Source organism: Homo sapiens, chromosome 17, assembly GCF_000001405.40.
Source record: "Homo sapiens chromosome 17, GRCh38.p14 Primary Assembly".
In the NCBI taxonomy this organism is placed as follows: Eukaryota; Metazoa; Chordata; class Mammalia; order Primates; family Hominidae; genus Homo; species Homo sapiens.
This window is the reverse complement of record NC_000017.11, coordinates 9,453,117-9,477,821: the sequence shown is the minus strand read 5'-3', so window position 1 is coordinate 9,477,821 and position 24,705 is coordinate 9,453,117. Positions and strand designations below refer to the sequence as shown.

At 45.3% G+C, this 24,705-nt stretch overlaps 1 protein-coding gene across 4 annotated transcripts in view, besides 1 other annotated feature; it reads left to right on the top strand.

Annotated features, from left to right (window-relative positions):
- Positions 1-24,705, top strand: part of STX8 (syntaxin 8) — a 325,350-nt gene that overhangs the window by 97,999 nt on the left and 202,646 nt on the right. The window lies entirely within an intron of this gene.
- Positions 3,331-3,832: an enhancer, noted in NCBI's record as "H3K27ac hESC enhancer chr17:9377307-9377808 (GRCh37/hg19 assembly coordinates)". NCBI's record gives its function as "activates a minimal SCP1, AML or CMV promoter by ChIP-STARR-seq in primed H9 embryonic stem cells {active_cell/tissue: H9 hESC(primed)}" and the evidence as "EXISTENCE:reporter gene assay evidence [ECO:0000049][PMID:30033119]".

Below are 24,705 nucleotides of genomic sequence, written 5' to 3'. Positions count from 1 at the left end.
CACAGCCACCCCCACATATTTAACATGCATACCTAAGTTTACATTTTTCTAACAAAGTCTAAAGCAAATAAATATCTTGGAATAAATCAAGTTTAGAATTCTTAAACTTCCCTTTAAACTCTTCATCTTCTGTTTTGTTTTCAACCGAAGCCCCCTTTTATTTCTGTAGTCAGTATTTTATTTACATTTACCAACATGTTTTACTGACTGCTGTTACAATTGCTGTATCCATTTTATTACTCAGCTCTTCTCACTGATTTTTAAAATTTTGAGAATGATAGTTTTAAACACCAAGAGGTTTTAATGTTCATGATTGCTTTTTTTTTCCACACAAGTGTGTATATAAGGTTGTAAACTTTTTAATCCTTTGAATGGCACTAGTTAGAACTTTAAAAAATGGTGAGTGTTTTTGCTCCTTTTGTTATTTCTGTTTCTTCTCTAGGTAAGTTTTGGTTTATTCATCTTAGTCTTTCTCTTTTATGCTGCTATGGGCTGAATTATATGTCACCCCCCAAATTCAAATGTTGAAGTACTAACCCCCTACTACTTCAGATTGTGACTTTATTTAGAGATAGGGTCTTCAGAGATAATTAGGTTTAAATGGGGCCACTGTGGTGGGCCCTAATCCAATATGCCTGGTATCCTTTTAAGCAGAGGAACCTGAAGCTGGGCACGGTGCCTTGTGCCTGTAATCCTAGCACTTTGAGAAGTCGAGGTAGGTGGATTACTTAGGCCCAGGAGTTTGAGACCAGCCTGGGAAATACAGGGAGACCCCATCTCTACAAGAAATAATAATAATAATAAAAAAATTAGCCTAATGTGGTGGTGTACACCTGTAGTACCAGCTACTCAGGAGGCTGAGGTCGGAAGATCACTTGAGCCCGGGAGGTCAAGACTGCAGTAAGCCATGATTGCACCACTGTGCTCCAGCCTGGGCAACAGAGTGAGACCCTGTCTCACAAAAAAAAGAAAAAGAGGCACGTGGGACACAGACACATGCAGAGGGCAGGCCACGTGAGGACACGGAGAAGACAAGCCAAGGAAAGAGGCCTCAGAAGAAATGACCTCTGGCTGGGTGCGGTGGCTCACACCTGTAATCCCAGCACTTTGGGAGGCCGAGGCAGGCGGGTCACCTGAGGTCAGGAGTTCAAGACCAGCCTAGCCAGCATGGTGAAACCCCATCTCTACTAAAAATATAAAAATTAGCTGGGTGTGGTGGCATGTGCCTCTAATCCCAGCTACTTGGGAGGCTGAGCCAGGAGAATAGCTTGAACCCGGGAGGTGGAGGTTGCAGTGAGCCGAGATTGTGCCACTGCAATCCAGCCTGAGTGACAGAACGAGACTCTATCTCAAAAAAAAAAGAAAAAAAAAAGAAAAGAAGAAACAACTTCCGCTCACATCTATACCTTGGACTTCTAGCCTCAAGAATTGTGAGAAAGTTAATGTTATTTAAGCTCCCTAGTCTGTAGTACTTTGTTATGGCAACCTTTACAAACTAATACACATGCTATGGGCTTTTCCTCACGTCTGCTAATTCTTCATTGATTCTTCATATTTATGAATGAAGGACCATATTGATTTGTATAGGTAGCTGCAATAGGCTTTCTTTGTATTTGGGTAGGTTTCGTTTTGTTTTGTTTTCTGAGACGGAGTCTCGCTCTGTCGCCCATGCTGGAGTGCAGTGGCACGATCTCGCCTCACTGCAACCTCCGCCCCCCGGCTTCAAACGATTCTTCTGTCTCAGCCTCCTGAGTAGTTGGGATTACAAGCATGTGCCACCATACCCAGCTGATTTTTGTATTTTTAGTAGAGATGGGGTTTCACCATGTTGGTCAGGCTGGTCTCGAACTCCTGACCTCGTGATCCGCCGACCTTGACCTCCCGAAGTGCTGGGATGACAGGCGTGAGCCACCACGGGCGGCCCTTTAGGCAAGTTTATTTACCCGAAAGGCTTCTTTCTTGAGTGGGAAGACAGGCTGTGATGTGTACTCTGTGTAAATGGGCAAGATATGCCAGTCGGCAGGTTTCTTTCTAGGATATATGGTTAGGTAAAAGAGGGCACAAGCCGATTCAGGACCATTTGCTATAACAAAACTAATAACATAAGGAGAACTCCAATCTTGGGGTGACATCTTTTATATGTTTTATTTCTTTTTACCCCTGTGTCTATCCTAGAGGCTCTTCTTTGACTCATTCTCTAGCCTGGACACCAACACCATGCGCACTCCCAGGCAAACTTTCCTCTCCAGAGAAGGCTGTTCCGGGGGTTCCAGCTGGGGGCAAGTACTGCAGACTGCAGTCTACACAGGGCAGGGCTGTGGGCAGACTGGCTCAGCTGTTCTGTAGACAGCTCTCCACTCAGATGCCCTGATTCCTGCCTTATAACCACTTCTTTGTAGGCCATTCTGTGGCTGCCAATAGCCATTGACTCTAAGCTTGGAGCCTCTCCAGGGTTCTGTCAAAAAGAAAGAGCTTCTTATCTGCAGCCTGATGTATTTCCAGCTGTATTTCACCCATTCCCCACCCCCAGTTTTGGTTTATTGGTCAATACAGTCCCAACTCTATTCTTGAAGAGAATCTCCAAAATGATGTCTTCATTGATAACGCTTCTTCGTGTCTTCAGTGCCACCATGGATTTATTCTTTCAAAAATAGCTTGACTGCCATTTCATTGTGCTCTTTGGAATGAAGGAGGCAACCATGTGTGCTTTCTCTACTGTTTGGAGCTCAAAGTCTCTCTCTTTTGCATTTTTTTACCAGGTCATAGTATCTATAGAAATCATTTTGCTGAAACAGCTGGTGTTCTGGAGGCTTCAGTAAAACAAGTTTTTTTTGTTTGTTTTTGTTTTTTGCTACAGAGTCTTGCTCTGTCGCCCAGGCTGGAGTGCAGTGGCATGATATCAGCTCACTGCAACCTCTGCCTCCTGGATTCAAGCGATTCTCCTGCCTCAGCCTCCCGAGTAGCTGGGATTACTGGCATGCACCACCACGCCCAGCTAATTTTTTGTATTTTTAGTAGAGACAGGGTTTCACCCTGTTAGCCAGGATGGTCTCGATCTCCTGACCTCATGATCTGCCCGCTTCAGCCTCCCAAAGTGCTGGGATTACAGGCGTGAGCCACTGTGCCTGGCTGGGAACCCTTCGCTTTATAGCCAGTTGGACTAAAGTACTTGGGGATACCCCAGGACTAATGGCTGGTATCTGAAGTTAGAACAGTCTTGTGGGATCAAGCCCTTAAACCTGTGGAGTCTGATGCTAACTCTGGGTAATGTCAGAATTGAATTGTTGGCTACCCAGTTAGTGGCACCTGTAGTCCCAGCTACTTGGGAGGCTGAGGCAGGAGAATCACTTGAACCCGGGAGGCGGAGGTTGCAGTGAGCCAAGATTGCGCCATTGCACTCCAGTCTGGGTGACAGAGTGAGACTCCATCTCAAAAAGAAAGAAAAAAACTGAGGGGTTCCCATGACCCCCCTTCAGGATTTGATAACTTACTAGAATGACTCACTGAACTCAGGAAAGCACTATACTTACTATTACAGTTTTATTAAAAGGATCCAACTCGGGGACAGTCAAATGGAAAAGGCACAGTATATAGGGCAAGGTATAGAGGTTGGGGTGGTGGTACAGAGCTCCCATGCCCTCTCCATGTATCACCCTCTCCATGTATCACCCTCTCCTTGTCCCCCAACTCCTGCCCCAGCACACTGATGTGTTCACCAATCCAGCAGCTCCCTGAACCTTGTTCAAGGGTTTTTATGGAGACTTCTTTACATAGGCACGATCGATGACATCATCAGCCACTTGACTGACCTTGATCTCCAGCCTCCCTCCCCTCCCTGGGGGTTGGGAGTTGGCCTGAAAGTTCCAGCCCTCTAGCCATTGGTATGGCTAGCCCTTTCTTTGAAATTGTCTAAGAGCCTACCGTGAGTTATTATCTGATGTGTTCATAGATGAATTTCCCCAAAGAAATTAGCAGGAGTCCAAAAAGACTCATCATGAATAACAAAAGACACGTCTAGCACTCAGGAAATTCCAAAGGTTTTTGAAGCTCTGTGCCAGGAACCTGGGGTAAAGACCAAACATATGTATACTTGGCCCTCTGTATCTGTGGGTTCCGCATCCATGAATCCAACCAACTGAGAATCAAATTTTTTTTTTAAAAATGGATGGTTGAATCTGCACTGAACATGTGCAGACTTTTTTCTTGTCACGATTCTCTAAACCATATAGCGTAACATCTATTACATAGCATTTCCATTGTATTAGGGATTATGAGTAATCTAGAGATGACTTAAAGTTATACGGGAGGATGTGTGTAGGTTATATGTAAATGCTACACCATTTTATATATGGGACTTGAGCATCCATGGATTTTGTATATGGAAGGGGTGGTCCTGGAACCAATCCCGCAAGATACCAAGGGATGACTATATTTTTATTATATTACAGCAAGGAAACCAGAGTCTTTGAATCTGCTAACTGTGCAGAAAAGATCCTGAGACATGGCTGGGCACGGTGGCTCATGCCTGTAATCCCAGCACTTTGGGAGGCCAAGACGGGCAGATCACTGGAGGTCAGGAGTTCGAGACCAGCCTGGCCAACATGGTGAAACCCCGTCTCTACTAAAAAAATACAAAAATTAGCCAGGTGTGGTGGTGGGCACCTGTAGTCCCAGCTACTCAGGATGCTGAGGCAGAGGTTGCAGTGAGCTGAGATTGTGCCACCGCACTCCAGCCTGGGTGACAAGAGCAAAACTCCATCTCAAAAAAAAAAAAAGAAAAAAAGATCCTGAGACACATGCATGGTGTTTGTCCTATGACTTTGCTGCTAGCTTTAGCTCTGGTGATGGGTTTGGCCAGCTTTGAGTCACAAGGACCTTTTGCTGCTTCTGCCCTAGTTCCTCCCTGACTTTTTTCTTCTAGGCCCATATACTGGTCTTGACCCTGGCCACGCAGCCAGGCTGAGAAGCCATCTAACTAGAAAGGGATGAGGGTTTTCCAAGGAAAAGCTGTGGAAACACTTGTCAAGGAAAAGGCCATCTCTCCTCAGGCCCTGGGACAGCTGGCCTGGGTGACTCACCCGGCTTCCTTTCCCCTGAACTTCATTCACCGCTGTTCCTATTTGACCTCCAAGAGGGAGGCTACCACAGGCCCATCCAGCTGTAGCAGCTGAATTGGAGAAGGGACTTCAAAAAAGCAAGCCAAAAAGAGAGGCCAAAGAGAACCTCAAAGGAACAGCCAAAGTAATCACAGATGCAAAGAGCAGGTTGCTCTGGAAGCTCTACCTCTTGCCACTTTGGCCCTAGTCATACTGTTTCTCCTCCTCAGTGCCTCTGCAGGAAGGGGAATCTTGGTCTCTCCTTGGAGGCTACGGTGGGGGTCCCCAAGACAACCTCCAGGTTTAGTGGTTTGCTAGGAGGACTCAAAGGATTCAGCTTATACTCACCTACCCACTAAAATGTACTTAAAACCCCCAAGTGAATACTAGCAGTACTCTCGCATTTACTCATGGACGTGGATAAAGTGGCAAAAGGTTTGACTCACCCCACAAGCACATTCCCAGCCGAGGTTGAACAAGGTGATGCCCTGCCTTTTGTTTCGGCCTCAGAGAGGGATGACCAGTGGACACTCTGGCTCTGGGGCCAGACAGACAGGCTTAAATCCCACCTCTGGCTCCTCTTAGTGGAGCAGCCTCAGGCAAGTTATGTAACACTTCAGAACTTTGTTTTTTCTTTTGAAAAAAAAAAAAAAAAGGAATCTACCAGGATGAGTTGTTTTTAGGATTTAATATTATGATCTGTGTGGGGTATGTACAGATAGAGGTACATGTCTCCCTCAGGAACATCAGTTGAGTATTTGCTAATTCAGTGTTCATGGTGACTTTATGGAACATAATTACTGTGAATAGCGGGAATGGACTGTAGTTATCCTCATGATTATGATTTATCATAGCAAAAGGATACAAAGCAAAATCAGCAAAGGGAAAAGGCTCCTGGTTGAAGTGCTGGGGAAACCAGGTGCAAGATTCCAAGCATCCTCTCCCAGTGGAATCCCACAGGGTGCACAGAATTACCCCAACGATGAGTTGTGACAGCACGTGCGACATATTACCAACCAGGAAGGCTCATTAGAGACTCAGTGCCCGGGGTTTTTTGAGGGTCTTGGTCACATAGGCACCCTGTCTGGCATGTACCCACATCCCAGACTCCCAGAAGGAAACCAGGTGTTAATGAAACAGAGCATTGATACAGCTTAGGCACAGATTGCCACTCTTACCAGTTAATGGCGGGTCCTTCCCAAAATCCAAGCTCCAGGATGCCAGCCAGGGAAGGGCCAACCTTGGCAGCAGTGCCTTGTTAAGAAAAGCAGTTAGGGCCGGGCGCGGTGGCTCATGCCTGTAATCCCAGCACTTTGGGAGGCCGAGGTAGGTGGATCATGAGGTCAGGAGTTCGAGACCAGCCTGGCCAAGATAGTGAAACCCTGTCTCTAATAAAAAATATAAAAATTAGCTGGGTGTGATGGCGGGCGCCTGTAATCCCAGCTACTCGGGAAGCTGAGGCAGGAGAATTGCTTGAACCCGGGAGGCGGAGGTTGCAGTGAGCCAAGATCATGCCACTGCATTCCAGCCTAGGCGACAGAGTGAGACTGTCTCAAAAAAAAAAAAAAAAAAAAGCAGGGTGCGGTGGCTCACGCCCCGGGAGGCGGAGGTTGCAGTGAGCCAAGATCACGCCACTGCATTCCAGCCTAGGTGACAGAGTAAGACTCTGTCAAAAAAAAAAAAAAAAAAAAAAAGCAGGATGCAGTGGCTCACGCCTGTAATCCCAGCACTTTGGGAGGCCGAGGCAGGTGGATCACGAGGTCAGGAGATTGAGACCATCCTGGCTAACACAGTGAAACCCCATCTCTACTAAAAAAAAAAAATACAAAAAATTAGCCAGGCATGGTGGCGGGCACCTGTAGTCCCAGCTACTCAGGAGGCTGAGGCAGGAGAATGGTGTGAACCTGGGAGGCGGAGCTTGCAGTGAGCCGAGATTGTGCCACTGCACTCCAGCCTGGGAGACAGAGTGAGACTCTGTCTCAAAAAAAGAAAAAAGAAAAAAGCAGTTAGGCCTGCTGTGTTAGCTTTTTCTGCATAGAGGCCTACACCAAATATGACTTATTTATCATGTTACTTTTCCTGTTTGGAGAATCAATGAAAGAATGAGAATGCTTAATTCCTGAGAAAAGTAGATGCATGCTCTTTAGAAGGAAAAAGATACAGAAAGAAGGTGAAAGCCGCTTAAGACAAATTGTAGCTCTTCACAGTTTCATTCATTATTGAAGATCTTTAGCTGAGCTTGGCTTATCCTCAGAGTTCTCTGAGAATGTGCTTCTCAAAGTGGAAATTGTTTAGCATATGGGGTGGTGAAAAGGACTGAAGAACTTTGGTAATAAAAACCAAAGCAGCAGGAAGGAAGTGGTCTGATTAGAACCAAGTGCTTGAGCAGGGAAAGACAGCGTAAGAAAGAGACTGAAGCTGCTGAGTAGTTGTTTCAAGTAATTTCAAATCCTTAAAGGAGCTTGAACTGGAAGGTAATGTGGTCTCAACGGTTTATTCTGGGAAGAGACACGACATTCTCTTTCCATCTAGACAGTCCTGCCAGGAGGGTGAAATCTTTGAGAAAGCATTTTGAATGCAGTGATAAGGACTCTTTATTATTTTTGTTGTTGTTTTTATTTTAACCATTTCAAACAGTAGTTGGGGAACTGAATTGACATCAAAGGTAGAACAGTTCTGTCAACCAATTTGGTTAGTTTGAAATCCACAAGCACAATTAAAAAAAATTTATTATGTCCTGAGGAATTAACAGCTAGTGGTTTAGAGTATGTTTCAGTGATAAGCGTTTTGTATCTATGAACAGGTGAATTTAGGAGACCCTCCAAGGTGTTTCTGTACTCCCTTGGGTCATTTGAACAGGATAATTTGAGGTCCTGTGTCCAAGAGTGACCCTCCTCTCTGCTTCTGGATTCACTCCTAGCTCGTGTAGGATTCATGTTGCTAAACTCATTCCAAACTTGGCCATCTCTAGGGGTGACGATAAGGTGAAGACTCATTTTACCATTTTCTTTTGTCAGCCAATCAAAGAGCCCAAGAGTAGCCATTTTTTGTTTTGCTTTGTTTTATAAACAGGATTTTCTCTGGTACTTTTTTCTTGCCAGAAATGGACAGAGAGCTTTAGGAAGAAGAACTGGTTGTGTTTATGGGAGATATATTTAGGATGGGCTCACGGAGAGTTTGTCCTTGAAGCAACGACTTGGGATGTACATTAATAAGGTGATCCTATTTCTTCTTAATCTTTTATCACTTATGAACATGTAACTGACTAATACCACTGTAATCAGGCCTCAGTTTTCTATGGAAAGGAAGAGAAAGAGACATGGAACATCTTTAGGGGTAGATGTGTGTGTGTGTGTGTGTGTATGAGAGAGAGAGATGAAACAGACTGATGAGAGACAGACATGAACTTAGACTTAGATTTGAATGGGAATATATCTAATGAGCTGGCTTTAAAGTGGGTCAGGACAGCACTCACCTTGCTCAAAGGAGATTGGAGGCTGACCACGTAGCTCAGTGTGCCTCCCTGAGAGTTCTTCTGTGCTCCTTTATCTGATTGGAACCACGCAAATGACCACCTTGGCTGAGCTGCCCAGCCTTCTCCTAGGTTGAGCTTTAACCATCTGTTGGAGGAGGAAAATTCCCAAGATAACAATGAAAGCAATTTTTCTAACCATCTGGCTTAACCTGTACCACTTCCCTTGAAAATTGAATTTCTTTTTCTTCTCCATAGAGGCATTGAGGCACGGGTTGGATTCTCTGGGGAGCAGCCTCGGAGGGGCTTTTGTATGCGGGATGCGTATGAGGAGCACTGATGGGATCAACATTTGTGGGAGGGAGCTGGGCAGCAGGATTAGCAGAGGGAGCGGCTGGCTTTGACGACAGCCCCCTGGGAAGCCCGGGTGCCGAAATGGCCTTCAGGATTGTCCCACGTTGAATTCACATTGCTGGGCTTATATGCCCCAGCCTTGATCAGTCATTGGATGGGGAACACCCTGGGAAGGCCGGGTCCTTGGGCAGGGCAGCTCTATGCCCTTGAGAGGCTGGCAGTTGAAGACCGTCTGCCAAGAGCACTCCCAGCAGCTGAGGCAGAAAGGCCTTGCTTGAAAGAGGAACTGTGTGGTGCGTCTCTGTGCCTGCCACACGTGGGATATTGATCTGCCAGTTTTAAGCATTTGAAAATTGTTAGGTATGGAGTATTAAATCACCTGGGTCGGATGGGGACTGAGTTAACTAGAATACAAGTCTCTGGATGTTATCACCCCATTCCTAACATTTTCGTAAGATGTTTATTAATCCTTGAGATAAAACCACTATATTGCTGGGTGCAGTGGCTCACACCTGTAATCCCAGCACTTTGGGAGGTCGAGGCGGCTGGATCACTTGAGGTCAGGAGTTTGAGACCAGCCTGGCCAACATGGTGAAACCCCGTGTTTACTAAAAATACAAAAATTAGCCGGGTGCGGTGGTGCACGCCTGTAATCCCAGCTACTTGGGAGGCTGAGGCAGGAGAATTGCTTGAACCCGTGAGGCAGAGGTTGCAGTGAGCCGAGATGGTGCCACTGCACTCCAGCCTGGGTGACAAGAGCAAAACTCCATCTCAAAAAAAACCAAAAACAAAATAAAACAAACCTCGCTATATTGTTTCTACGCTATTTCTAACCATAGCTGTGTTACATTTAAAATGTGTAATATTGTGTCTTTTCTCCTATGCCTTTTAGAGTTACATGTGTATTATTATGGCAGCTGTATATTTTAGGACCTTCTGTATTAAAAACTGTTACTCAGTTACAGCTTGTTTGAAAACAACTGGAATCTGTCCTATAGCTCCCACTACTTCAAGATCCATTTCAAACTAACATTTGTAAAAATAGTGGGAGATGGTAGTTGCTGTGCTGGATAAAAGGCCCTGGACGTGCCTGGAACAACTGGGAGGGTCAGAGCAGGCAACCTTGGTCCCCTGCCACCTGGAGTTGCTCCTTGCTTCTCTTCCATGCCCCGAGCCACTCCGGAGAGTGGATTAAGCAGCACAACGCCCTCTTCAGGGGAAAGGGTTTCCCCTGCACTTTGGTGAAGCAAGAGTGCATGGAAGCCATGGTTTGGTCACCTTCATGGTGTTCTTTTCTTCCCTGTTTCCTCTTCCTTTTCCAAAGCGAGCCTTTCTCCAGGATGCTCTTCTCTCAATTAACCAAGCATGCTTCCCACTCCTTAAGGGGAAGAGAGAGGTCTTCCTAGCTTGTTTTCTGCAGTCATTGTTGTCAGGGAGGGGAGTGGATGGATATTCATTCTGTTCCTTAACCCAGGGGAGACTGGATCCTCTGCAACACTGTTGCAGTCCTGAAGCTGGGTACTGCTTTCACCCTCCAGACCCTACAGCATAGCCTTAGTGATTAAGACAGAGAGCTCTGGAAGCCTCTAGGATTTGGCAAATTACTTAACTTCTGTACGCCTCAGTTATCACATTTATAAAGTAGGAAAAATAAGAACCCACCTCACAGAGTTTGTTGTGAGGATCAAATGAGTTAAAAGCATGTAAAAGGCCGGGCACGGTGGCTCACACCTATAATCCCAGCACTTTGGGAAGCTGAGGCGGGTGGATCACCTGAGATCAGGAGTTCGAGACCAGCCTGGCCAACATGGTGTAACCCCATCTCTACTAAAAATACAAAAATTAGCCGGGCGTGGTGACAGGCACCTGTAATCCCAGCTACTCAGGAGGCTAAGGCAGGAGAATCACTTGAACCTGGGAGGTAGAGGTTGCAGTGAGCCAAGATCGCGCCACTGCCCTCCAGCCTGGGGGACAAGAGCCAGACTTCATCTCAAAAGAAAAAAAGGCTGTAAAGGACTTAGCACACCACCTAGTGTATAGTAAACGCTCAGTAAGTGTGCATTGTTATTGTCATAAGAATGCCTCATGCTTCGGAGGTGGTTGGTGAAGGTTGGTTGAATTGAGATTCCCCAGGTTCTCATGGAGCTGCCTGGCCACACCACTGTCCTGGTAACCCTGCCAGGCCAAGTTTGATGAGAAGAGGGCATATTGGACACAGGCCTATGTCACTTTTGATATTGGAAATGAATTTGGGGATTTAATATCACTATACCTGTTAAGATGAAACTGGCTAGAAATCTGTAGCACTCTTCCTGAGTTTTTGCAGTTTGTATGGATTCTGAAGAGCTAGCAAATGTCTCTCCAGTGCTTATTTCCATGCCTGTGTTAAAATGTGTAAATGTTGGGCCTTCTCAAGAGCCAAAAATGCCTTTCATCTTGGAAGTAGTACTTATCTCCCAGGGCGATTAATGAATTTAGTCCACTCTTTGGAAACAGTCCACCATGTTTTCCAAGGCATCCCACACAGCCAATACCTATTAGGTTTTAATGTTTCTTCCATCTAATTTACAAGCTTTTTACCTTTCCTATGAATATCAGGGCATGAGAAAGAAGGAAAGAATACTAAAATAGCTGGGCGTGATGGCTCAAGCCTGTAATCCCAGCACTTTGGGAGGCCAAGGCAGGCGGATCACGAGGTCAGGAGATCGAGACCATCCTGGCTAACAGGGTGAAACCCCTTCTCTATTAAAAATACAAAAAAATTAGCCGGGTGTGGTGGCGTGCACCTGTAATCCCTGCTACTCGGGAGGCTGAGGCAGGAGAATCACTTGAACCCAGGAGGCAGAGGTTGCAGTGAGCCGAGATTGCGCCAGTGCACTCCAGCCTGGGCAACAAGAGCGAGACTCCATCTGAAAAAAAAAAAGAATACTAAAATAGTATGGTGGTTAAAAACAAGGGCTTTGGAATCAGAGATACCCACTTCCTCCATTTTCTAGGTGTGCAAGGAAGAGCAATTCACTTAATCTTCTCAAACCTCATCCCTTGTATGTAGACCAGAGGTGATTGTACCTACCTTACAGTTTGTGAGGATTAAACTAAATGGGATCGCGTATATGCAGGGCTCAGTGCAGTGGCTGCCCTGGCTTCAGTCCCGGAAGTCCTCCCTAAAGGCAGCTATTGTTGTCGTCGTTGTTCGAGTGATCCGATACCGCATAGCGCTGTTCAGTTTTTCATACTCTGTGATGACAGGCGTGCTGCTTGAAGAAATGTTTGAACTCGCCTTTTCTCAAGTTCATTTTCTCCAGGTGATCCTGCACACCTGTGATATGGCTGATCTCAGGGTATACATTTCTCCGGCACACAAAATTTCCTTTTCACCACGCACAATTCATCCCTGATATTAGTCACTGAACTTGGAACCGTCTGGTTTTGATTGGCTAGTCAGGGTTCACTGAGGCAAATTCCTTCCTGAGATTGCTCCATATGTTCAGGAAAGGGAGTGTTTGTGAGCTGCACAGGCAGTAACGTAGACATGAAGCCAGGAGACAGCAGCACGTTGCCATTTTCAGCTACTCCCAGTGGGCAGCTGGGCAGGATGATTAATATTTTAGCATCTTTGTTCTTTCTGTTTAGCTATAACACTAGAGCTGTTTAAATCACTCTGAAAATAACATGCCTGACATTTCCTCAGTTAAAAAAAAAAAGCAACTTCAAGTAATAATCCTCTGCCTATTACTGAGGAAGTGTTTTTGGTGAGAAAGGAGGGAAAATTAGATGACTTAGGGGAGAAGGATAATTCTGAATAGCTTCATGGTGGAGAATACATTGAAACCTAAAAAGCTCAAAGGTGTGACCCAAAGTGTGTGTATAAGAGGATGAGGCCGGGCATGGTGGCTCACACCTATGATCCCAGCACTTTGGGAGGCCGAGGCGGGCAGATCATGAGGTCAGGAGTTCGAGACCAGCCTGGCCAACATGGTGAAACCCTGTCTCTACTGAAAATACAAAATTTAGCCAGGCCTGGTGGCAGGTGCCTGTAATCCCAGCTACTCGGGAGGCTGAGGCAGGAGAATTTCTTGAATCCAGGAGGCAGAGGTTGTAGTGAGCTGAGATTGCTCCACTGCACTCCAGCCTCCACGATAGAGTGAGACTCCGTCACAAAAAAAAAAAAAAAAAACAATGAGATTGGCATCAGAGGGCACCGTATATTCCGGATGTAGTCCCTGCATCTAGGTCCCTCCCACACTTGTTTTGAACATTTATGATCTGCTCACTTCTGACACTCTTCATTTATGACACACTCTTGAGATACTTGAGATTTTTCAGCACATAGAGCCCTGCAGAAATCTCAGTGTTTAAGTACTAGAGACCCGTGATCATGGTTGGATCTCCTGTTTCAGTACTTTTCTTCCCTTCTTGTGCTATTTTGCTAAAGTTGCTAAGCAATCATTTATTCAGCCTACTCTGTGTAATGCATGGAGCTAATTTTGAGACTTTAAGGATTATACCTAGCGGCAGATTTGTGATATAGGTGTAAACATTTGCCTGGTATCGTAGCTGAATTTCTAAGATAATTGCATGTCATAATTGAAAGATCACAATTGCAGATCATAATTTACATCCCTCACCACACCTTTCTATTTATAGAAGTGCCTGAGAAAAATGTTTCTTTCTAAAGCAACTGCTCTTTACAATAATTGCCTCTTTCAGCTGCTGCTGTTTAAGAATCAGATTTAGGAAGATGTGGAGCATATATGGTAATTGTCTCAAAGAAGAATATTTCAATCTCATGATAAATATTTGACTTTTATTTTTGTTTTTGTTTTTGAGACAGTCTTGCTCTGTTACCCAGGCTGGAGTGCAGTGGCCCTATCACGGCTCACTGCAACCCCTGCCTCCCAGGTTTAAGCAATTCTCTTGCCTCAGCCTCCTGAGTAGCTGGGACTACAGGTGCACACCACCACACCCAGCTAAATTTTTTTTTTTTTTTTGAGATGGAGTTTCACTCTTGTTGCCCAGGCTGGAGTACAATGGCGCAATCTCAGCTCACCGCAACCTCTGCCTCCCGGGTTCAAGCAATTCTCCTGCCTCAGCCTCCCAAGTAGTTGGGATTACAGGCATGCGCCACCACACCCTGCTAATTTTGTATTTTTAAGTAGAGATGGGGTTTCTCCATGTTGGTCAGGCTGGTCTCAAACTCCCAACCTCAGGTGATCCGCCCAGCTCGGCCTCCCAAAGTGCTGGGATTACAGGCATCAGCCATTGCGCCTGGCCTAAATTTTGTATTTTTAGTAGAGACGGAGTTTCACCATGTTCAACCAGGAGTTGGCTGGTCTCCAACTCCTGACCTCAAGTGATCCACCTGCCTCAGCCTCCCAAAGTGCAGGCGTGAGCCACCGCACCCAGCCTGTAAATATTTGACTTTGAATGGGTGAAATAAAAGTATTTTGATTTGGAGGAAGGAACTTAATACTAAAAATAGTCTCAATGGAATAGATTGCAGGGATACCTGTTATTATCAGTAATTCTGTGATAGCGAAACAAACATAATTGTTACTGTGTATTGGGTGCTCACTCTGTTCCAGGAAAGTACTATAAAGTATTGTATTTACGTAAATTATTGTATTTAATACTCATAGTGTCCCTGTGAGCGGTAATAACATTACCATTTTACAGATGGGAAAACTGAGACTCAGAGAATTAAATACCAGCCTCAAATCACGTAGCTAATAAAGAGGTGAATCTGCTCAAGCTGTAAACCATGAGGCCAGCTAGGCATAGGGATGTGTTCTGGGATGAGGATTCTTTTACATTCTTCCTCAGTGAGACTCCCCTCCCCTCTTCTTAGAAGACCAGGGAGCTCTTGCTTTACTTTTTACCTTTCCTGCCAGGGTGGATGAATATTATTCCTTGGACTTTATAAGGCTGTGGCCTAGATGCTGAGTCCCTGTCTTCTGGTGTCTGGGAAGTGTGGCGGGCCCCTTGGCCAGTCCATTTCTTTAGTCGTTCTGTCACTCTTCCTCAATGGATACTGCCCCAGTGTAGAGGAATCCAGAACATACCCCAAGCAGTCCTTCCCTGTACAGTTTCACTTTATTAAAAGGATTATAATTAGGGTTTCATTGGATGTTTTATTATTCCCCATGCTTTTTTCCTGATGGAAATTATTTCGTTGTTGAGACAGAGCCTCGCTCTGTTGCCCAGGCTGGAGTGCAGTGGTGTGATCTCGGCTCACTGCAACCTCCACCTTCCAGGTTCAAGCAATTCTTGTGCCTCAGCCTCCTGAGTAGCTGGGATTACAGGCACCTGCCACCACGCCCAGCGAATTTTTTGTACTTTTAGTAGAGACAGGGTTTCACCACGTTGGCCAGGCTGGTCTCAAACTCCTGTTTTCAAGTGATCCTCCCACCTCGGCCTCCCAAAGTACTTGGATTACAAGCGTGAGCCACTGCACCCGGCCTCCTGATGGAAATTTTTGAAAGAGAAAAGAACTCAGGGTTGAAATGAGATTTTCTTCTCAGGTTAGTCACAAATGATCTCTGCCTTGGTTTGCTTAGAACTTATAAAGCCACAAAGTGAGTTTGTCTTCATTAGATCACTCCAGGGGCTCCTTTCTGCCTTTCTTGTCAGCCTCAGGTTTCCTTAGGTGAAGGTCTCATGCGCTTGGCCTCTGTGTGACTTAGTGAGAGACTTATTTGTGCTTCTCCTCCGATAGAACCAGCCACTGTCATGTTTGTTCCCCTGATTCTCTAACCCAGGGGTCCCCAACTCCTGGCCATGGACCAGTACTGGTACGTGGCCTGCTAGGAACCAGGTTGCACAGCAGGAGGTGAGCGGCGGGCAACTGACTGAAGCTTCATCTGTATTTATAGCCCCTCCCCATTGCTTGCATTACCGCCTGAGCTCCGCCTCCTGTCAGATGAGCGGCAGCGTTAGATTCTCATAGGAGCGTGAACCCTATTGTGAACTGCACATACAAGGGAAATCTAGGTTGCATGCTCCTTATGAGAATCTAATGCCTGATGATCTGTCAGTGTCTCCCATCACCCCCAGATGGGACCATCTAGATGTAGGAAAACAAGCTCAGGGCTCCCACTGAGTCTACATGATGGTGAGTTGTAGAATTATTTCATTATATATTATAATAATAATAATAGAAATAAAGTGCGCGATAAATGTAATATGCTTGAATCATCTTGAAATCACCCCCCACCCACTAGTCCATGTAAAAATTGTCTTCCATGAAACTGGTCCCTGGTGCCCAAAAGGCTGGAGACCGCTGCTCTAACCCACCACAAGCACCAGCTTTCTCTGTGCAAATTCACACTTTCTCCTGGCAGCTGAGCCTGAATAGTTTAGCCTCCCTTTGGGCTTACTGTGAATCCACACTTCCTAGAAAGTCAAGACTATCTCTTCTTGACTTTATATTGGCTTCTGTCTCTATCTCTAGCACCCAAAGGAACAATGTATTCATAATTTTCTAAGGAAGCTGAGCTAGAATCTAGGGTGGTGGTAGGTGGAGGGTGTGCACCCTTGGAAAAAGGTAATTCTGTTGCCCACCCTCTCACCTTCCTACCCTCCACTGGAAACCACTCCTCTCCATGTTGACCTCCTGGATTGCCTCCATCCCCTCCCGCTGTGGGGTTCTGTGTATCTGCTTGTGTTTTGGATTGGTTCACTGTCTGGATCTGTCAAGGAAGATAACCATTTTTTCAGGAGCTGTGTACATGGTGAAAAATATACAGTTCTGGTTGTAAGGAACTCTCACTTGGGAATATTATTATTTAAAAACTTATACGTTGAGCTCAGTGCTGTCACAGAGGTAAGAATACTGTGGAAAGGCTATAAATATTTTTCCCCAAAGCAGGGGTTGGAAACATTTTTCTTTCCTAGGCTGTTGAGACTCACAGGGAAAAAAAAAAAAAAGCAGTGATGACCAAGTTAAGTTTTATAGTGGTAATTAATTTAATCTTCCCAACCACCTTATGAAGTTAGTATTATTATTATTCCCATGTAACAGCTGGGGAAAGTGAGGCTGAGGCAATCTAAGTAACTTGGCGAAAGGCACACAGCTACCAAGTGTCAAAGCCAGAATTTGAACCCAGATCAGTCTGATGACAAAATATGTTCTTTTAACCACCATATACATATTTACTGTCTTTCTACATGATAAAGATATGTTGTTGTTGTGAATTTAGTAGTTTTGTTTTGTTTTTTTTTTTTTTTGAGACAGAGTCTCACTCTTGTCTCCCAGGCTGGAGTGCAGTGGCACGATCTCGGCTCACTGCAACCTCCACCTCCCGGGTTCAAGCTATTCTCCTGCCTCAGCCTCCTGAGTAGCTGGGACTACAGGCGCCCACCACCAGGCCCAGCTAATTTTTATACTTTTAGTAGAGATGGGGTTTTGCCATGTTGGCCAAGCTGGTCTTGAATTCCTGACCTCAGGTGATCCACCTGTCTCGGACTCCCAAAGAGCTGGGCTTACAAGCGTGAGCCACTGCACCTGGCTGAATTTAGTAATTTTTTAAAAAGATATTCAAAATACAAATATGACTGTGCTTATCTACCTCCTTCCCCCAGAAAGGAATGGGAGTGATAGTAACATCCAAGAGTTACTAGTAAATATTGTGATATGATTGTGGAGTGAGGGAACAGTTGCATTCCCAGAAGCTAAATAAGCATTTCCTAACTATGAAAGTTTTTTTTAACCCTTTCATACACTCTGAAGCCCCTTCATCTCCTTTATCATTCCCAAAGATGTATACTCAACTGCAAAAGAAGGAGACTTTGCTACTGGTATCACAGGATAGTTTCTTGTTGTGCCCTTTATGAAGCCATTGTCTCTCAACCCCAAACATGGCCTTCTGTGCCCTCCTGTGTGATGCTGGAGCTCGGCCTCTGCAAGCCACATTTCTGTCTTGCCAGCTGCCTCTCTATTCGGCTCTGCCAGTAGCGAGTTCTAGATGCTGCAAAGCTGCAGCATCCTTCTAGATGCCAAAAAAACTTATTTGATGTGTTTTTGAAGAATGTGGTAGAAAGCAACAGATTTCAGCTCAACTCTTCTGTGCTTAAGAGCCAGCATATTGGCCAGGCGTGGTGGTTCACTCCTGTAATCCGAGCACTTCGGGAGGCCGAGGCAGGTGGATCACAAGGTCAGGAGATGGAGACCATCCTGGCTGATATGGTGAAACCCCATCTCTACTGAAAATACAAAAAATTAGCTGGACGTCGTGGTGGGTGCCTGTAGTCCCAGCTACTCGGGAGGTTAAAGCAGGAGAATGGAGTGAACCTGGGAGACAGAGCTTGCAGTGAGCCGAGATCATGCCACTGCACTCCAGCCTGGACGACAGAGCGAGGCTCCATACAAGGAAGTGATGTGTATTTCCCATTTGCTTCCTGTGAGCTTCCCGTCTGTGGTACACAAGATACGCTTCTTCACCCTGGCAGCAGCAGTTCTTTCCCTGAGGCAGCAGCTGGCTGAATTCAGTCCACGGGTTTTTCAACACTTGCACAATCAGCCTCTTCAGGTACCCTGGAGACACTTGTGTCACCTGAGCAGCACCTCCTCCTCCTCAGAATTTCGAGTTCACTTCCATGGGGGCCCTCGTCCAGGCTCTTTATTTTAATAATTTTCACCTCTTGCTTTTATCTCTTCTGCTCCCATGATACCTTAGAGTTCTGTTTTTACCCTCTCACCTAGTTAACAACTCTATGTCTTGTTAATGGCTCTCTCTGCCTTAAATTCTTTCTGTTAAAATAACTGGAGTGGGCCGGGCATGGTGGCTCACGCCTGTAATTCGAGCACTTTGGGAGGCCAAGGCAGGCGGATCACTAGGTCAGGAGATCGAGACCATCCTGGCTAACACGGTGAAACCCTGTCTCTACTAAAAAATACAAAAAGCATTAGCCGGGCGTGGTGGTGGGCGCCTGTAGTCCCAGCTACTCAGGAGGTTGAGGCAGGAGAATGGCGTGAACCCGGGAGGTGGAGCTTGCAGTGAGCCGAGATTGCACCACTGCACTCCAGCCTGGGCAACAGAGTGAGACTCCGTCTCAAAAAAAAAAAAAAAAAAATTAAATAACTGGAGTGATTTCTGTCGCCTGATCAGACCCTGGCCGATACGCCTATATAATTCAGGCCTCTGCTGTTTGGCTTCAGCTTCGTTCATCATATGACACTGTCATCTGGAAGAGCAGTCAGTCCTCTAAGCAGCCTCTCTGATCCATACTTCATATTGCATTGGGAGTGCTGGATTTCTTTGAGGAACAAGAGCACGAGAGCAAACTCGAAGTTAGAACCTCTCGTATATTTTCTAGCAAGTCATGCATTGGTCTTCTCAAAGTCATGATTACTTTTGAATTATTTTAAAAACTTATTTGATGTGTTTTTGAAGAATGTGGTAGAAAACAACAGATTTCAACTCAACTCTCCTGTGCTTAAGAGCCAGCATATTGGCAGGGCACGGTGGCTCACGCCTGTAATCCCAGCACTTTGGGAGGCCAAGGCGGGCGGATCACGAAGTCAGGAGATCGACACCATCCTGGCTGACACGGTGAAACCCCATCTCTACTAAAAATACAAAAAATTAGCCAGGCGTGGCAGTGGTCGCCTGTAGTCCCAGCTACTTGGGAGGTTAAGGCAGGAGAATGGCGTGAGCCCAGGAGGCGGAGCTTGCAGTGAGCCAAGATGGCGCCACTGCACTCCAGCCTGGACGACAGAGCGAGACTCCATCTCAAAAAAATAAAATTAAAAGCCAGCATATTTACTCCTCCATATATAATAGTATATGCAGAGGTAACCATAACTAGAATACATAGTAAAATTCAAACGAGCCTTGGTTTTCTTAGCAAGATTGGTTTAAGTACTGGACCTTTAGTTATAAGTATTCTGTAAATAGTAACTTTCTGCCCTTCTTGGTATTTGCTACATTATAGTGAATATGATGGCTGACTCTCCAACATCCATTCCAAATTCTTATCCTATGCCAATCACAGTGAACCTATTCTCCTTGTCAAAAATTGGATTGATAATGGGCAGGTAACCCGTTTCAGCCAATTAAACATGAAGGAAAATCTGCTCTAGGGCCTCTGGCTAAAGTTTTCTTCCTAGAAAGAAAGAGACCAGAAAGAGGTGTCTCACCTTTTTTATTCCTCTACAAAGTATGTCTGGATGTGGCATCTGAAACTTCTCTAATTAGTACCTTATGATCATGAGAACAGCCAGCCTGAGGGCAAAGCCCTCATTGAGGCTGGAAGAGCACAGAGATTATGGTAGGCAGAATTATAGCCCCCACTAGAGATATCCATGTCCTAGGCTCTGTAATCTGAAGATGTGTTACTTTACGTGGCCAGAGACTTTGCAGATGTGCTAAGGAAGGGTATGGCCTTGAGATGGAGAGAGAGTTTTGGATTCTCTGATGGGCCCAGTGTAACCACCAGAGTTCTTAAATGTGGAAGAGGGAGCAAGAGAGTCAGTGTTAGAGTGATGTGATGTGAGAGACTCGAGCAGTCATTGCTGGCTTAGAAGATAGAAGGGGCCACAAGCCAAGGAGTGTGGGCAGCCCCTAGAAGCTGGAAAGGCAAGGAAATGGATTCTCCTGGAGCCTCCAGAAAGGAAGACAGCCTTTCTGACACGTTGATTTTAACCCACGGAGACCTACGTCAGACATCTGACCTCTGGACCTATAAGATGATAACTTTGTATTGTTTTAAGGCACTAGGTGTGTGGGAATTGGTTATAGCAGCAGTAGGAAACTAGTAACGAGATGGAAAGAATGATGGCTGCTTGATGACTTTGCAGAACCTCAGCATTAGCCAACTCTAGAGCAACCCTGCATTTCTTACCATGAGAGACACATTTCTGTGATGTTTAATCCAGTTCGAGTCTCATTTTCTGCTACTTGCAGCCACAGCTGTCCTAAGCAAGATGCATACGTACTTAGCAGAGTTCTGTGTCTAAGGCGGACTCTAAATGAGTGTTTGCTGAATAGTGAAAAAATGCAGGAGAAAAAAACCCCAGAATCCACATCTAAAGAAGCAGGGCTGTTTTCCGATTCATAGTAAGTGTAATAACTTAGAACTTTTTTTTTGTTTTTTAAAAATAAAAGACACAAAAGATGTTTGGAAAGATGGATAAATTATTTGAATGCTGAGATGGCCTAGAACTTCAGCAGGTGCACTTTCAAATTGCCAGATTCATTTCCTATAGTGACCTCCAGGCATTCAGAGTCTCTTTTCTGAAATAACATTTCAGCAGATTCTGTGAACATGCCAAGAAGTGATTATTTTTACAAATCCAGATGATTTCCTAATTTAGGATGGCTCAAGCAGAGGAAGAAATGAAGGGAAACATAGACTCTTTTTCCATCTCCACAGAGTGGGAACAGCCCTGGTACTGGCTTGAAGCAAATGTTGCTGACAACTATGAAAGTGGTTATCACCGGACAGCTGTTCAGTGGCCTCAGTGAACTCAGCTGGAGGCCCAGCCCAGTTTCAGATCAGAGAGGCCAAAGATCAAATGGTGTTTCATTTGGTTTCCATGCCTTTTCTTCACTGCCTCTGGGTTTCAAATTAGTTTTTGTAATTTCTGTTCCAAAGACTGTCCTGAGACCCACAAGACTCGCTTCATCTGCCACCCCCCAAATACACTTGCTTAGCCTCACTTCCTCCCTCTCCTCCCTTTCACCAGCAAATGGGTTTTTTTAAAAAGTAATTCATTTCCGTGGGAAAATAGGAATTCTCTTATCATGACACCCAGCCCCTACCCATCTAGTGAGGGCCTTCTCTGAGGGTGGCGTATTTAAAAGCTTAACAGCCCTGATAGTTAGGATTCCTCCCAGGATCTGAATCCTGGGTGAAACACAGTTGGATCGTCAGGTTAGGGAGGGAGGGTGTGCTGGGAGAGTAAATTGTGCCCCCAGATCCCAGATGAGGATGAGCTGTACACTGCAGATGGGTTTGTTGATATGCCTTTGCATATGAGAAATGGTCAGAATCCTAATTAGACTTATTGGTTGCGTACCTCCCCCTTATAGTAGCAAGTTGTAAAGTTTTAGAAATAATTTTCAGAGACTCTTGGCTGGAAGACTGTTACAGAGTTAGCCCACTTTGTGAATAATATTGTATGTACTGTCTGCAGAGGACATTGACTGTTGCTGAAGTGTCTGTATTCCTGTCCATATTTTAAGTTTCTCCTTTTCTTCCCTTCCTGATACCATAGTCAAAATCTTACTGTTTTTATTCAGTTTTTTAAAAATTCTTATTGCATTGTAATATTTTCATTTGTGCTTTTTTTTACACCAAGATACCAAAATATTTTCCTTGCTGTGCCTTTTCTTGTAGCCACCAAAGCCTTCACTATTTTTCTTTTATTTTGTTTTGTTTTTATTTATTGATTGATTTTTGAGACAGAGTCTCGCTCTGTCGCCCAGGCTGGAGTGCAGTGGCGTGATCTCGGCTCACTGCAACCTCCGCCTCCTGGGTTCAAGCGATTTTCCTGCCTCAGTGTCCCGAGTAGCTGGGATTACAGGCGCGTGCCACCATGCCTGGCTAATTTTTTTGTATTTTTAGTAGAGACGGGGTTTCACCGTGTTAGGCAGGATGGTTTCAATCTCCTGACCTCATGATCCGCCCACCTCGGCCTCCCAAATTGCTAGGATTACAGGCGTGAGCCACCGCACCCAGCCTTGTTTTGTTTTTTAAGAGACAGGGTCTTGCTCTGTCACCCAGGCTGGAGTGCAATGGTGTCATCATGGCTTACTGCAACCTCAAGCAATCCTCCCACCTGAGCCTTCCAAGTAGTTGGGACTACAAGTGCACACCACCACACCTGGCTAATTTTTTAATTTTTTGTAGAGACGGGGTTTTGCTGTCTTGCCCAGGCTGGTCTCAAACTCCTGACCTCAAGTGATGCTCCCGCCTTGACCTTCCAAAGCGCTGGGATTACAGGCATGAGCCACTGTGCCCACTTTAAACTGTTTAATCTACTGTTGTAAAAACATTGTACCTGAATATATTCCTGAGTGTAAGATAATTTTTTTTGTCTCCAAAGAGGATGATCCATCCTCTGCCCCCTAGAACAGTTTCTTTCCCAAATCAATAGTTCCCCCTTATATGTGGTTTCGCTTTCTGTGGTTTCAGTTACCCATGGTCTGCTGCAGTCCCAATATATTAAATGGAAAATAGCAGGAAAAACAATTCATAAGTTTTTTTGTTTTTTTTTTTTTGAGACAGTCTCGCTCTGTCGCCCAGGCTGGAGTGCAGTGGCGCGATCTTGGCTCACTGCAAGCTCCGCCTCCCGGGTTTGCGCCATTCTCCTGCCTCAGCCTCCCGAGTAGCTGGGACTATAGGCGCCTGCCACCAGGCCTGGCTAATTTTTTGTATTTTTTTAGTAGAGATGGGGTTTCACTGTGTTAGCCAGGATGGTCTCGATCTCCTGACCTCGTGATCTGCCCGCCTCGGCCTCCCAGAGTGCTGGGATTACAGGCGTGAGCCACCGCGCCCGGCCAGCCCGGCCCATAAGTTTTAAATTATGCCCTGTTCTAAGTAGCATGATGAAATCTCATGCCATCCTGCTCTGTTCCACCTGGGACACGAATCATCCCTGTGTCCAGCATCTCCATGCCATACGTGCTCCCGGCCTACGAGTCATTTGGTAGCCCTCTTGGTTATCAGATTGAGAAAGGGTTTGGTACTATCTGAGGTTTCAGGCATCCACTGGGGACCTTAGAATGTATCCCTGAGGACAAGCGGGGACTACTGTGTATACTTTTAGGACTATAGCTGAAATAATCAAATATGATATTCAATTTATTTAATGATGTATATATAATGTAGAAAACATATTTAGAATATAGTCATTCCACTTTAACTTTATGACATAGTTTCTTATAAACGCTTCCTTTGCACCAGTGTCTGAAGCCATGTGAGAGCGGTTTCCCAGAGCCTCGCCTTCCCTCTTCTTCAATTGCCATCCATGCTTCCCCATCCAGACTGGTGACTTTTACAGACTCTTACCCATAAGTCCCCTTAGGAGAGCAAGAGACTCATGGCACAATTTATTTATTAACTCAACACATAGTTATTAAAAATCCTCCATAAGAAAGACAAGTAGCCAGGTACGGTGGCTCACACCTGTAATCCCAGCACTTTTAGAGGCTGAGGTGGGTGGATCACCTGAGGTCAGGAGTTTGAGACCAGCCTGGCCAACATGGTGAAACCCTGCCTCTACTAAAAATACAAAAATTAGCTGGGCATGGTGGCACATGCCTGTGATCCCAGCTACTCGGGAGGCTGAGGCAGGAGAATCGCTTGAACCCGGGAGGCAGAGGTTGCAGTGAGCCGAGATCACACCACTGCACTCCAGCCTGGGCAACAGAGTGAGACCCCATCTCAAAAAAAAAAAAAAAAAAAAAAAGATGAGTAGTGACAGGAGGTATAAAGTGCTCTTGAAGGTTGTATACAGTTCATACCTTCCTGTCTAATTCAGATCTGAATATGGTAGGTATCCTTCACCATCTGTCCCACAATTAGATTATAAATTGGTGTTAATTACAATAGTGTTTTCTCCATGGGGTAAACATAATGATGGTGAGATTACTATCACAGTAGCAGCTGAGCTGATTCATAATGATCTTCCTTGATTTTCCTGGAGGCTTACAGTGGATTGGATGAACCTACCCTATGAACCAGGGTCAGTGAGTTTCTAGTCATAGGAAATTAACCTTTCGGATCCCCACACCATTTTCTAGCCATACTGAGTACTAAAGATGAGAAACATCTAAAAGA